General features: G+C 48.7%; 1 long non-coding RNA gene across 1 annotated transcript; it reads right to left on the reverse strand.

Moving 5' to 3' along the window:
- Positions 6,465-14,140, reverse strand: LOC105377784 (uncharacterized). The gene is made up of 3 exons (XR_001745761.2): positions 13,993-14,140; positions 8,405-8,522; positions 6,465-7,027 (listed from the first exon to the last, which is right to left on the reverse strand). It is a non-coding gene; the product is annotated as an uncharacterized LOC105377784 (long non-coding RNA).
- Between the last annotated feature and the right edge of the window lie 1,479 nt (positions 14,141-15,619).

Below are 15,619 nucleotides of genomic sequence, written 5' to 3' on the forward strand. Positions count from 1 at the left end.
AGATTCAATTTTCTTTTACTAAAATAAAGATCTATAATACTTGTTGCTTTTTAAAAAAAAAAAGAGCACTAACACCTCTGAGCTTTGCCTCCTTGTGCGAGAGTAATGTATTAATAATTGAGGAAAGATGGCAAGAAGGTAAAAAGAGTACAGATAGAATTCCCGGTCCTAGCCCTGAAGGAGTTCACTGATTCTAATCTTTCCTGAAGTTACAACACTGTCCTAGACAGGCACACAAACACACAGAGCAAAGAAACGAATTTCCTTGTTGAAAACATGCCGACGCTTTCTGTATTTACACTCATGTTCACTCCAACGTCCAGCTCCAGGCTGGAGACCACACGAAGGAGGCAGAAGCGGGAGGCAGAAGGCAGGTGAGCTTGTCTTGAGCACAGCCGTACTTAATCCAAACATAACCACCGTGTTCCAGTTTTAATTACAACATTTCACAGATTCTAAGATGCCTTTTCTTTTTTTCACTTTTCATGTGTCTGAGGTTGGAACGCATTTTATCATGGATGGCCTTGCACAGTCACTATTGACCCAGCAAGATCCCAGGTGTCTCTCCCAGTCACTCCAGGAAGATGGTGGTACTATTTGTACAGCCCGGACGCTTCTGGCCCCACAACATGCAAGGGCCCTGGGAGAAAGAAGGAATGCTGTCTGAGGATCTTTTCTTGACACCTTCTGGTAAAATCAAGAATTCCAGAGAACATCAGCACTAAGCGTGCAGAGCCAGTGTCGGGGTTGGAACTGACTACCGGCGTGCAGGCTTGTACAAACGCTGCATTTTCAATACTCTTGATGGCAGGAAATAATGACAGGCGGAAAATTATGAATATTCGTGAGTCCGAGATTTAAAAATGTGTAAGAAAAGGCAGATTCTGTGAAGTTTTAGGAATTCCTTTATCAATGTATTATAAGATATATATATATATACACACACATACACTCATATGGAACATATGTATGCAGATACATGCCAACAGAGTTACATTAGAATCTACATTTGTGTATGTCTTAAAGAGTTTTTTAAAATGTACAAATCAAGCATGGTCATAACTGTTTCAGCAGCATTTTTCAGTCGTGCGTACAGCTGTGGTGTATCTCCCCATCAACGGCTTTTAGATTTAATGGAATAAAATACTGGATTTAATAGAGTGAAGTCTGATGTCTGTGTCCTTCTAAAATTCCTATGTAGAAATTCCTACCTGAAAAGGGATGGTATGAGGGGGTGTTAAGGGGTGGGGCCTTTGGGAAGTGATTAGGCCACGGGGGTGGAGCCCTCTCAGATGGGTTTAGTACCCCCGTAAATGAGGCCTAAGGGGGCTCATTCACCCCTTCCGCCATGGGAGGATGCAGCAAACAGGCTCCATCTGAGTCAGGAAACCCTCAGCAGACACAGAGCCTACAGCACCCGGATCTCCAGCTTCCAGCCTCAGAACTGTGGGAAAGGCGCGTCTACTGTTTCACAGGCCCCAGTGGTGGAATTTTTGTTACAAAATTCTGGATGGACTAAGACTTATGGCTTCAGGGTTAACTCATTCTCACATCAAGAAAGTGGTACAGTTATGACAATCTTCATCAATCATAGCCTAAACTACCCCTGAAGAAATTTAGGGAGGTTTCAGATTGTGTTTTCATCTCAATTAAAATGAGTTTTATCTATCTTCAGGTTTCAGAAATTAAATTTGCATTGTGGACAAATTCAAGAAAGGCATATTTTAAATGTCTTAAAGTCAAAGTAGATTTTTTTGATCTACCTTTACCATACATCCCACAAATACAGTCATGCACCCCATAACAATGCTTGAGTCAACAACAAACCACATATTCTACAGTAGCCCCATATACTACGGTGACCCATACACACACAAACTCAAGCATGGTACATATATGCCGATGCATGCCAAAGGATGTAGATTAAAATCTACATGGAGACAGAAAAGCAGATGAGTTTGTCTTGAGCACAGTCATACTTAATCCAAACGTAACAATATTCCAATTTTACTTAAGAAATTTCACAGATTCTAAGATGCCTAACAACACATTGCTCTGTCATTAAGTGAGGCATGACTGCACGTACTAGCAGGCGAGGAAGACAGTAAATGTTCAATTAATGTTTGATGATTGACCAAATCAGGTGGGATGGTGGGGGGTGGGGGGTGGAGGATGGGGAACGATTTGTCAGACATTTTGGTGAATCCAAGGTTTCACTCAAGTCAAAATAAAAATATTCATAGAGCCCAATGCAAACAAGAAAACACACAGACAACAAAAAACACAGAACGACAATGACAAAATGGCCAAGCAGGAGAGCCGCACGTGTTCCTGACCTGGCTGCAGCTGTCCCTGAGGCCCAGGCCGTCCCGGACCTCACACCGAACCCGAGGTTATGGCCCCCAACCTTCCTCAGCCTCTCCTACCCTGACCACACAGTCGCTCGAGAGCCTTTCTTGATAGGAAAAAGAAATGAAAAGCTTAGCTCATTTTAACAGAATCAAAATGACCCAGACCTTCACATGTTTGTATCACAAGAGCTAAATCACATATTATTTGATGATCTTCCTTTATGTCCAGCTTGGGTTAAGTGAAGCCTTAATTAGAGATGAAAATTGTTATTTTTTTAAACATAAATTTACACTAAGTAGGTGAGTCATTTGGTGTCTGAAAAAATAAAACCTAAATAACTCCAACTTCAGACACACCAGATAATACTCTTAAACTTCCTTAACTGACTTTTAAAGTCAGTTTTTTCCCATTGGTGCTTCCTACAGCACCAGAGAAATCAGCATCTCTGTAGGATCAATGTGTTTGTGTCTGCAGGAGCTCAGATAAAGCCCTGGTTTTAGCTGAATGATTAGTTGTGATACCTTTTAAATGCTCTTTTGGGTATAGAAATGCTGACTTAGAATTTATGATAACACAGAAATCAGCTTATAGAAATATATGAGAACTATCATATCCAGGAATTAAATGAATCCACTCATAAATAAAAACATATTGATATCCACCTGTTAAAGGAGAGGAACTTGATATCTTTCTCACCGACAGATAGCAAGACAGGCACATGGAATTTTTATGCTTGCATACACTATGCTTAGGGAAAACAGGAAACAAACTTCTCTTAAAACGGTTTTATTATTTGTAATTAAGAAGCTTGCAAAATTCTCTCTCCCATTTATTTAAATATCTGAATTATTCTTGAAGATCGTATGTTACATATTTTCATTTCTTCTTCTGCTTGTTTTTGCATATGTGGCATAAATTGTGAGTAAAACTCTTGAATGGTGTTTCATATCAAACACGAATCCTCGTGTCAAGCTCTGAGCAAAGTCGTGAGAGGAGAAAGTATCTCCCAGCAGGATTATTCATTCCTTCTGTTGACGTCATCTACCCATCCACGCCAACTCTGGCCGCCCAAGGCCACCAAGCTAATAGCACTCAATGGTGTTCCGCATGTATCCTCCCTATGGACTTACCAACTCCTAACCACCCAACCAGAGTGGGCCTGTCTCCTGCTTCCCACCCTGCTCTCTGCTCATTGAAAGCTGGCTCTTCTATGCTACTGGCTGGTTTTTACTAAGGCATGCATATGTTTCTCCTCCCATAATACAGATGTGTATATTCACATGGGCCTTTGGAATATGTCCATCTCATGTGCAGCCTAGAAGCTCCTCCACATGGCTCTGTCCACCCAAAATGTATTAGGAGTGACTGATAATTTCAATCAGTTCTCACTTCATCTAGTAACAGCCTTTTCTGAAATTCAATTTCCTCTCAAAAAGAGGCAATGACGCTTCTAAGATCAAGCAACCTTTCGCCTAGGCAAATGACAAACCTATGCAAGTGACAAATTTCTTCCACCATTGAAAATCGATCCATTGGAAATATTCATCATTCCAATCAATAGGGAGCTTGCGTAGGGAAACATGTGTGACTGGGCCGAGGCGGGCAGATCATGAGGTCAAGAGATCAAGACCATCCTGGCCAATATGGTGAAACCTCATCTGTAACAAAAATACAAAAATTAGCTGGGCGTGATGGTGCTCGCCTGTAGTCCCAGCTACTCAGGAGGCTGAGGCACAAGAATTGTTGAACCCAGGAGGTGGAGGTTGTGGTGAGCCGAGATCATGCCACCGCACTCCAGCCTGGGCAACAGAGCAAGACTTCATCTCAAAAAAAAAAACAAATTGTGCTAGTGTAACCATCCTTAACCAAAAGCAAACGATTATTCAGAGACAAATGTGGGTATTTGGGCTCTAGTGGATTTGGGGTTAAAATTTGGAAGTTTGAAAAAGCTAAAGGTTTCTCAGAGCCTCTTTTTAAAAGTAAGCTGCATAAGCTGCCATTCTTTATGAGGCCTCGTTTCATTCCCCTTAAACATGGCCTTGAAATTCCGTATGTGGGAGAATACATGAATATTGAATCAAAGGTGCATGGCTGGCATATTTTATGAAGATTCCCTACAATCTAACTATAAAGCACCACCAGGAAAAAAAAAGATTACTTTTATTCTGGTTGACACAAAATTATGCATTAGAGCTTCCAGTCAAAACAGACATTGTTAGGAAATGTGATAATTTTACTCCAACATTTCCCCTTGCTTTCAGAATTTTTACAAAGATATGGCTCCAGCAGGCACAATGTGGGTACTCTTTTCTAATATGATCAACTGAGCAATTCGTAAATTAAAATAAGAAAAGATGAAATCGCATTTAAACTGCACCACCACCTGGGCTTAATAAAGTTGATATTCCACCTGTTTGAACGCTCAGGAGCACACAATATTTCCATAAACCCCAGCGATCACAGCATGCTTCTTAGTCACCATGGTATCCAAATCACTTAATAGAGGAATAGCTCTGAACGGCTCTACGACACCGATTGATCCCTCACAAGGCAAATACGTAGGAGGCGAGTGTGCGCTGGACACCGCGCAGGTGACAAGAACGCGGCTGTAAGGAGGGCTACGGCCCCTATTATGGCCTAGCTTACAGGCGGGCTGGAAAGGTGGACGTTTCACTGGTAATTAACCAGAATCCCATAGAGGAGCTTGTGGTGGGAAGCCTCTCCTGGTTCAGACATTAGGAAAGGCCTCTCGGAGCGGCACTGAAGCTGAGGTATGCAGGAGCAAGTCGTGTGGAAACGGAGGAGATGGTGGGGAAAGCCACGACCAGCGGAACCCTTCAAATGCCCAAAACGCAGGGCCCTGAGCTTCCTGTGCTCAGCTATCAAGAGGGGCTACTGAACTTGAACCTCAGATGACGTCGGGGCTGGGGGAATGAAGTTGGAGAGAAAGGTGGGCCCTGAGTTTGAGAGGGTTTCGTAAGCTATGTTAAGGGATCTGGACGTCTTCCCAAGGGCCAATGAAAGATGAGAAATGAATTTAACATAAAGCTATTATGGAATGCATAGCTTCCAATGATCATTCTCACAGTTGTGTGAAGACACAGGACTCTCCAGCTGGTCAAATGGGGTACAGAGTGATGACTGAGATGCTGCCGTCCCTGTCCGAGGGGAGTGACTTTGGGGTGGCAATGGAGATGGCAAGAAGAGACGTGCTTGGAAGCACGTGCAAGAATCAGAGCCTCAACTTAGAGCTGATTGTCCTTAAAAAGCAGCACCCCACATTAGGCACAGTCTAACCAGAGTGATGAGAAACCAGGCTCCCACCCACACGAGGGTGAGGACAGTAAAGGCTCCTGACTCAGTATCACGTGAGAAATGCTGACAGAAGAATAGTCCAGGTGGTACCTGGGGAAAACCTTGTTGATTTGGGAGCAAATATGTGTAAAAGCTATCTACAAATAAAGGCAAAGCTGCCCTATAAAGAGTAATCTTGCTTGGCTTCAAAGAGCAGAACTAGGGTCTCCAGGGAGAAGCGGCGGGGAAGCCAATCTTACCTCAGCCTGAGAGAGCTTTCTAACAATGGAGGCGGTGAATCAGGCTTCCTCCAGGACCAGGACAGTGTTACCTCAGCCTGAGAGAGCTTTCTAACAGTGGAGGCGGCAAATCACGCTCCCTCCAGGACAGGGTGACGCCAGCCTGAGACAGCTTTCCAGCAATCTAGGCTGCGAATCAGGCTTCCTCCAGGACCAGGACAGGGTGATGTCAGCCTGAGAGAGCTTTCTAACAATGGAGGTGGGGAATCACGCTTCCTCCAGGTCCAGGATGGGGTTAGGACAGCCTGAAGGAGTTTTCTAAAAATCGAGGCGGTGAATCAGGCTTCCTCCAGGTCCAGGACAGGGTTACGTCAGCCTGAGGGAGCTTTCTAACAATGGAGGTGGCGCATCAGGCTTCCTCCAGGACAGGGGTTTGCTCCCCAGGTGCAGGGGCTCAGGTGAAGAATATGCATGAAGTGGGGAAGCGCAAACATCAGCGAGTATTTGACTTAAAACTTAAAAATTCAGTTCAGAGGGAGGGCAAAATTAGGCTCTGGGTAGCAGATGCTGGGTGGATTCTAACATAAATCTTTCTAACAGTTTGTGTGCTGGGAACACAAAGAGGAAAAGGCTGTTCAGAAGACACTGGGGTTCCTAGGTTCATGGAATCCAACGTGAGGATTTCTTACTCCTTTGGATACTAAGTGAAATGGGAGCCATGCTTGAGAATTACAAATAGAAAACACACAATGCAGGACACCCTATAAATATTGATTCTTAGGCCAACCAAAACCCCCTGAGGGTGACACTTCCAAAGCAGCCACTGGGCTCACATCAAGTCAGAGCAAAGAAGAGTCACCCCAGCCCAATGCCCCTGCTGGAGCATCCAGGCCCCAACAGCAAGAGAAGGACTGGATGGCTCGCCCAGGCAGGGGTGTCTTCCAGAGCCTGTGGCTGCAGCACCCACAAGTGCACTCACCAGGATTTGCACACAGGGTGCCATTTTGTTGTTTGTAGCATCTCAAGCTTCCCTTCTTGTGTTCCTCCCTTGGGTCAGCAGAACCATCCTTGGACACCAGGGGAGAGGGGCTCTTGCTCTGGGCTCTTGCTTGCAAGCTCCTGTGCTGGTCCTCCTACTGCTCCTACAGGGCAAAGGCAAGCCCCCACCTGGAAGCTGAGCCCCTTCCATGTACACTGTGTGATTGTGTGTGCTATTCACACACACACCAGCCCCTAGCCCTTATCACCCAGGTGGCCCACGTCTGACCCAAGCTCACCTGGGCCTCTCCCATGAACCTGGCTTCATCACAGCAGGCCTTAGGCCTAAGAGCTGGCTGGCCTCAGCAGTCTATAGAAAGGTGTGATGGAGCTTGGGCGCATGGTCTTGGATTGGGTGGCTACACTCATACACGGTGGGGGAGGGGCCCTGATTGGGGACCTGGTAATGGGCAGGATGGGAAAGGGGAAGGTCCCTGCTGGGGGCCCGCCCTCCTCATGCCCCATGGCATGGAACTCTAAGAAAATAAGAATTCTAAATGCAGACCAGTCTAGTTCAGGGGTTGGCAGACTCTGCATAAAGCACCCGATAGTAGATAGGTTCAGTTTGTGGGCCACACAGCCTCTGTCTCAGCTCCTAACTTGGACTTGTGGCATGAAAGCAGCCAGCATGTACGTGGCTGAGCATGGGCTCTGCACAAACAGGACCCAGATGTGAGCTGCTGCCCACCAATACCCGTGGTCTGTATTCCTGCATGTATGTTTGTCAAGCTGAGGGGCTGGAACACATGCAGCAGTTACTGACTTAGCGATAACTTCTAAAATATTTAGACAAAATACATGGGGGCCTCCCTGTGTGCCTCTGCCCCATTTCCCATGGGTCCCAAGGGTGTCCTCGAATCTTAAAGAGCCCAGGCTGGGAGGGCCCAGCAAGTGATCTTCTGCCACGAGGGCAGCATCCCAGATGAACACGGGGACCATAGAAGAGGCGGAAGCCCCGGAGATGTGGCCAGATGAGAGTAAGAGGGGGATGAGCAGGGCTCTGATACTAGAACCTAACTTTGACGTGTGAAGAAAATTCTGTATCTCTCCCTCAGAGACATGAGTGACTTCACCTCTGCCTCCTGCTTTGGACGTGACTGTGCTGGCCTTGGAATGCTCACAGCGGGTCCTCTCCTTCTCTGCCTCTCCACAGCTACCCACACTTGAGGGCCGGGCTTGCTCTGCATTTCCCTGAGGGTCTCACCGACACCACCTCTGCCCGGCTTCTCTGGCTCACTGCAGCTTTGCGGGTTCAAGCTGTCATGCATTGCAGTACCTGATGTGCTATTTCTGGGAGACTCATGGGCGTGTGTCTTTCCACATGATATAAAGCCCTGTGTGCCCCCTACAGTGACCTTCCTGTCTGTCACCACTGCCCACCCCTGCACCAAGCCCAGGGCCGGGCACCTCCCAGGCACTCCATAAAGGCTTCCCGGGTTGGCACTGCATCCTCGTGGAAAGGAATGAACTGTGGAACTTACGTCGGCATTGGGACCGTCTACCCTATGTCCCGCGTCGTCGGGATGAGAAGGGGAAGTCTGGTCGGCAACCAGGAGTTCATTTCTCACCATCCTATAGGCCAGTGTTAAAATTCTGTTTCTGTTTCAAGGAAAACACGGAAGGTCAGTGTTTAAACAGATCGCTTTGCCGCTCTCGCTGCTACCTGAGCAGAAAAAACCCATCCCTGCCAGCTTACTTTCTCTGCTGCATGAACCCATCTTTTCAATAAGAAAGGCAACGTCTGCCTTCTTCACAACCAAATCCACTCACTGCGTCCACTCAGGGAGAAGGTGGCAAAATATATTCCCTTAATTGTTAGGATTAATTATTACTCTTTAAATTCACTCCAGTAGCTGGGATCTGGCTGTTAGTCCTAAAGCCCACTTAGCAGTTTTGGTGTTTGTTTGTTTGTTTGTTTTTAGTTGGATTGAGCTGTTCTAATACTCCTTTTTGGGAGCACTCCAGGCACTCCAAACAGCTCACCCTCACTGATAAATGTCCTCGTGTCAAAAATAATTACCCAGTGCAGATGGAGCCATCAGAAGGAGACTGGGACCCGCCTTCCTGCTGTCCTGGGCCCCAGGGCCCATGGTCCTAAAACAACAGCTGAGACAGCGTGTCTTCACCCGGGCAGACAGCCCTCCTGGAAAAGCTGCAGAGACCCCAGAACTGCTCTCCAGACTCATCCTCAACTTCAGAGCCTGATGATCACAAAGGCGAAGAAAATCAGGGCAGCGCTCTCTCCGCCCTGTGATCTTGAAGACGACACTTCCGTTACAGATGCTTGCACTTGGAAACAGAAGCATGAGTTGCCTTACCAAGTACACACTGGCTTGCTGCGGGTGTAGTTCATCACGGTTTTCACAGGCCTCGCAGACCGGACCTTTTCCTAAAGCACCTGATTCAGCCGATGGCAGATCCCGATTCACGAGGCCAGAGCAGCGTGCCAACCTTCTGCAGGTTCCCCAGGTAGCGGTCAGACACAGCCACTCGGGTAGGGATGGACCCGCCTCACCCTGTGGCAGCCCCTTTCTTTCCATCGTTAATGCAGCCCCACTGCACTCAAGGTTGAGAAAACACTCGACAGACGGTTCCCCATAGCTCCAGTCACAGCCGAATCGAGGCACCTACGTCCTCATTTGCATTCATTGATCCTTCCCTGAGCCCCAGCACCAGCCACTCCCCCTGACACCTGACGCCGGGGTCTGGGGGGTGCGAGAGGCCTGTTCATGGGCACCCATGTATGTGTGCGTGTGTGCGTGCACACATCCAGAAACACACTCAGGATGCTCCAAACAGAAAGAAGAGAAGAATGGCTCCAGCAGGTATAAAGGCAAGTGTGCGCTCTCACCTGAGTTCAGGGCAGCAAACTGGGGAGACGGCAGTGATACTGGGTAAGCGGGCAGGGCATCATAAGAGTCTGTGGAAGAAACTCATAGAAAATCAGAAAAATTGACCATTGATAATTGTCAGTCTCCATCAAAATTGAGCAAAAAACAAGTAATTTCCCTCTGGCCGTAACCTACTTGGCTAATTTTATCCTCCTTGATATTACATTTACTGTGAGCATATGGATCATCAGAGCCTGGCACCCAGCACCATGCCAGGCCCGGGACTGACTCCTGCAGAAGTCGCTGACCTGGCATGAAGTTTCAGAGGCGAACAGGAGCTTTCTCCGCACCCAAAGGAATGGACACTGCTTTCCATGAAGCATCTGTTTTTCGCACGGTGATGGAGGTGCACCCCATGATGCAGAAGAGGCCACACCTGCTGAGATGGTTAATTTCAACCTGTCCACAGGACTGGGCTAAGAGAGGCCCAGGTTGCTGGCACACCTGAATTTCTGTGAGTGTCTGTGAAGGAGTTTCTGGAAGAGGTGAGCATTAGATTCAGTGGACGGAGTAAGGACAATCCCCCTCCCCAGAGTGGGCCGACTCCATCCAATTCATTGAGGACTCAGATGGGACAAAAAGGTACCGAAAGAGTAAACTTGTTCCTCCTCCTGGAGTTGGGGCATCCACCTTCCCCTGGCTCCTCCTCCTGGAGTTGCAACATCCACCTTCCCCTGGTTCCTCTTCCTGGAGTTGGGGCATCCACCTTCCCTTGGCTCCTCCTCCTGGAGCTGGGGCATCCACCTTCCCCTGGCTCCTCCTCCTGGAGTTGGGGCATCCACCTTCCCCTGGCTCCTCCTCCTGGAGTTGGGGCATCCACCTTCCCCTGGCTCCTCCTCCTGGAGTTGGGGCATCCACCTTCCCCTGGTTCGTCATCCTGGAGTTGGGGCATCTACCTTCCCCTGGCTCCTCCTCCTGGAGTTGGGGCATCCACCTTCCCCTGGTTCCTCCTCCTGGAGTTGGGGCATCCGCCTTCCCCTGGCTCCTCCTCCTGGAGTTGGGGCATCCGCCTTCCCCTGGCTCCTCCTCCTGGAGTTGGGGCATCCACCTTCCCCTGGTTCCTCCTCTTGGAATTGGGACATCCGCCTTCCCCTGGTTCCTCCTCCTGGAGTTGGGACATCCATCTTCCCCTGGTTCCTCCTGCTGGAGTTGGGACATCCATCTTCCCCTGGTTCCTCCTCCTGGAGTTGGGGTATCCATCTTCCCCTGGCTCCTCCTCCTGGAGTTGGGGTATCCACCTTCCCCTGATCGTGGACACTGGCCCCTAGTGCTCAGGTCTGCAGTTTGGGGAATTATACCAGCGACATTCCAGGGTCCCCACCGTACAGACTGTGGGACTTCTCAGCCACGGTGATCGCATAAGCCAATTCCCATAATAAACCTCCTTCTATGTCTCAGTATTTGTCCTAATGGCTCTATTTCTCTGGAAAACCCTGACTAGTACATCTATCCCTCCTAGCCTAGCTTCCTGGAGGAAATTATAACCCTATTGTGCCCCAAGAGGTGAGCAGGAGTGAGCCAGGAGAGAAGGCCAAATATGGGTAGTCACCCAAGGTGACAGTCACCAGGACTCACCATCCCTTCCTGATGACACTTTATAACACCAGAGGCTACCAGAAGGACACTCATCAACCTAAGGTTGCCATCTCTGTCTATCATAGCCCAGTCCACAGGACTCTGTGTTGCAGTCACACAATTGGCATTTGCACCTTGGCCCACACACACTGGAAGAAGCACTTCACCGTCTGAGAGTGGAACTGGGGAAGAATGATGTGATTCAAACATGCCAGACTTTGAGAATAAACAACCAGACCTTCGACCGCATCCAGAGAACCAGGAGAACCATCTCTCAGGGCTGAGGCCACACTCCAAGGGAGATGCAGAGCAACCCTGGCACCTTCCCCTCAAGAGCCTCCCAGTGCCACTAAAGCAGAGGGGAGGTACGTGGGGACACCCTGCAGGGAGGGCCTGGCTCCCTACATGTTCTAAATCCCCACGTCAGGCAATACCTATGAACTGGCAATGCCAGCCCCTCTCAGAAGTCCAGTCTCTCAAACCTGAGCAATGCAGAAGCCACTTTGATGGAAAATATGTTATTCTGAGAATATATTTTTAGGTTCCAGTTTGAGGAACACTGACCTGAGAAACTAAAAATACATCCAGAGGGGGAAAATAGGTGCATTTGCATTGCAAATTACCTCTTGCAAAGTGATTAGCCTTCATGTCTGGTGAAAGCAATTTTATTGGACTCTCACTGAAATGAAAACACAAAATTTTGAAAGAAAATCTTTGTTGTTAATTTTTATTTTGCAGAGAGTCTGAGGATTCTCATTTGAGAACTCCTGATCTCAGGGATGTATTTATAAGACTTGAGGAAACAAGAGAAGCCTCAGTGTGGTCCAGCTAAAAACTAGAGTTGAGGCTTGGTTAAACAACAAGGGAATTTGGGGAAGGAAAGCATAGTCTGAGTAGACTTCAGCTTTGTCAATCAAATTCCATAATTTCCACTGACTCACGACCAACTCCTGTGTCAAAGGCTCTGCCGGGAAAAGCAAGTAAAATTAATAGCACGGAGTGGTCTTATTCCTAATGAGACATGCAAACCAGCCTACAAGGAAGTAGAACCCAGTGGTGGGGGATTTGGGGGGCAGGTTGTCCTGGGTTCAGGATGTAACCAGGAGAGCACAGTAGCCCACAACCAACATTCGGCTTAGGAGCGGAACCAGCAGAGAACGGCCCTGAGCAACATTTGGACAGCACGTCTGGGCCCACAGGCCTGTTCTGGGATGACCTAGAACCCAGTGGCAGGTGCCTGAGGCCCCCTGTTTTGTACAGAAGAGGAAGAGAGGGAGAGCTGGTACCCACCCACGGGAGGGTTCTCTTTGCACGCTGGGACTCAGAGGGAGTGTCCTGGCATCAGGGCTCTGTGTACCCGAGAAACCACACCCATGGAATGTGATGTTTTGTTCTTTTTGGGAGACTTTCCCAAGGCCCCACATCACCTTGTTACTGGGGCCTACAGAAATCTGAGTAGTGTGTGAGATTAGAAGTGTAATTTTTATCCCTTACAGTAAATAAAATGAGTCTCTCAGCAGCAAGATGCCCATTGAAACAGCCCTTGTTGCCACCGTCTACGAACATCTACTGCCCACGCTTGGCGAAAATAATGCAACCAGTGCCTCTGCGCTGTCAGAACCTTATCAGTGTCCACAACAGAAAACGTAACGTGCTGTAAACATAAAAGGAATCCCCATGGAAGCATCCACCGAAAAGTTGGGGCTGACTGGGGTTAGCGTCAGAGGTATTTACCGATGTCTTCGGGTCCTGACTTCTGCTCCGGGGGCCTGAGCCTCAGAAGCTCCCATTCATCCTGCACAGACGCCCTCCCCAGCAGTGAGCTCTCCCACAGGCCGCCTGCTCCCTGTGCAGCGGGGGCTCCCTGTGCAGCGGGGGCTCAGGGCCAGCTCTACCTGGGATCTTGGGTTTGCCATAAATCACACCACCCCACCCTAAGGGAGGTTCTGCCCCACACCCGAGGACAGTGCTCCTTGGCTACTGAGCAGACAGGGACATGGGCAAGAGTGGCTGATCCAGGAAGCACACGGGTGCCCAGACCAGATGAGAGCAAACCGCCACGCTCAGGTGGAGCAGCAAGCACGTCGCCCGGTACCACGTGTGCGTGGTTCTCAATCTTCTCAACTACTCTGTCAGAAATACTGTCTTCCTTTTACAAACGAGGAGGCTGAGTTTTACAGATATTGGATACACCTGCCTGGTTCACTAGACTATTAACAAAACAGTCCGTATTCAAAGCCAAGGCTTCCAACAGGAAACCTCCTCGTTGACAGCACAGTGGTTTTGCCCTCAGTTCCTCAGGCCCCGGACATTCCCTGAGCCTCAGCACTGGGCCTGCGTGTATCATCACCCCTCTCCCACCCCATCACCAAGTGTCTCCCACCCCCATCACCACCCCCTCCCACCCCTATCACCATCTCCCACCCCTCTCCCACCCCCTCCCACCCCTATCACCATCTCCCACCCCTCTCCCACCCCTATCACCACCTGTCTCCCACCCCCATCACCACCCCTCCCACCCCTATCACGACCCCCTCCCCCCCATCACCACCCCTCCCACCCCATCACCACCCCCTCCCCCCCTGTCACCACCCCTCTCCTACCCGGACTGCAGGTGGCGGGTCTCACCGTCGTTATCTTCCCTGTGCGTTAACCCCTTTTGTCTCAGGCTGAATGTTCTTTCATGACTGTGGTCACTATTGGTTTTTAACTTGATGTCTGAGAAACATGACCTTTCATCCATGTCTGTGATATGTCTGAAAACAGGATTAACCACAAAAATGAAAAATTAAGGACCTGAGTTATTTACTTCAGTTTAGAAAGCAAACGGGACAGAGAGCTTGTGGCTTTCACCACCCGGTGGGGGATTCACCCATCGATCCTGCCGTGGGAAAAACCAGCCTGGTTCCCATCTTCTCCTCAGAACCAACAGGTGAGCAGGGGAGGCAGAGTCTCTGGCCACGTGCAGAAGCACCTGTGGGATACCCTGTCTGCTGTCTGGGGTGGCCAGGCTAACAAGCACTGGTTTCTGGTCTGCAGGAGATGGATGATAAGGCCTGGGGCTGTCTGGGCAGAATGCCTTTTGTCTCTGAGCTTTGCTCCTTGGTGACCACATGAAGAACTGAACCAAAGGCTGTCCCTGGGAAGGAGATGGGTGCAGATGGATGTCACGCACTCTGCAGACAGCCCGGCCTTCAGAGAGACCACCCTGCTCTAAGATGACACAGCCCAGGAATGGGGTGCTGTGTCCTCACATGGCCTGTTTATAAATGTCCCTGTTAAGAGTATTAGTCCATTCTCACACTGCAATAAAGAACCACCGGAGACTGAGGAGTTTATGAAAAAAAAAAAAAAAACAAGTTTAATTGACTCATAGTTCACCCACAGCCAGCATGGCTGGGGAGGCCTTAGGAAATGTTCAGCCATGGCGGAAGGTGGAGAGGAAGCAGGTACGTCTTCCCTTCGTGGAGCAGGAGAGAGAGCGAAGGGGGACATGGTACACACTTGCATTTATTTATTAATATTATTATTATTATTGGAGACAGAGTCTCACTCTTTCGCCCAGGCTGGAGTGCAGTGATGCCACCTTGGCTCACTGCAACCTCTGCCCCCCGGGTTCAAGTGATTCTCGTGCCTCAGCCCCCTGAGTAGCTTGGGATCACAGGTGCATGCCACCATGCCTCGCTAATTTTTTTTTTTTTTGTATTTTTAGTAGAGACAGAGTTTTGCCATGTTGGCCGAGCTGGTCTTGAACTCCTAGCCTAAACTGATCCACCTGCCTTGGCTTCCCAAAGTGGTGGGATTACAGACATGAGCCACCTTGCCTGGCCAACTACACACTTTTAAACAACCAGATCTCAGGAGAACTCACTCACTATCACGAGAACAGCAAGGGGGAAATCCACCCCATGACCCAATCACCTCCCACCAGGTCCCCCATCAGTGTTGGTGTTTACAGTACAACATGAGACCTGGGTGGGGACACAGAGCCAAATCGTATCAATAAGTAAACTTATTATGGTTTGGACAAAATACTTTAGTAAATAGCATGTAAACAGCTTATCACATTCTCCCACTGTCCTTGGCGTTTAATGTTATTTATTTATTTGTATCAGAGACCAAATGTGAGCCACTTCAATCAAGAAACTCATCTACTAAACTAGACTGCAGGACACATGAGTTTCCGTCCTGATTTGCTGCTCACTAACTAGCTGTGAGCCCTCAACCTGT

Source organism: Homo sapiens, chromosome 8, assembly GCF_000001405.40.
Source record: "Homo sapiens chromosome 8, GRCh38.p14 Primary Assembly".
Classification (NCBI taxonomy): Eukaryota; Metazoa; Chordata; class Mammalia; order Primates; family Hominidae; genus Homo; species Homo sapiens.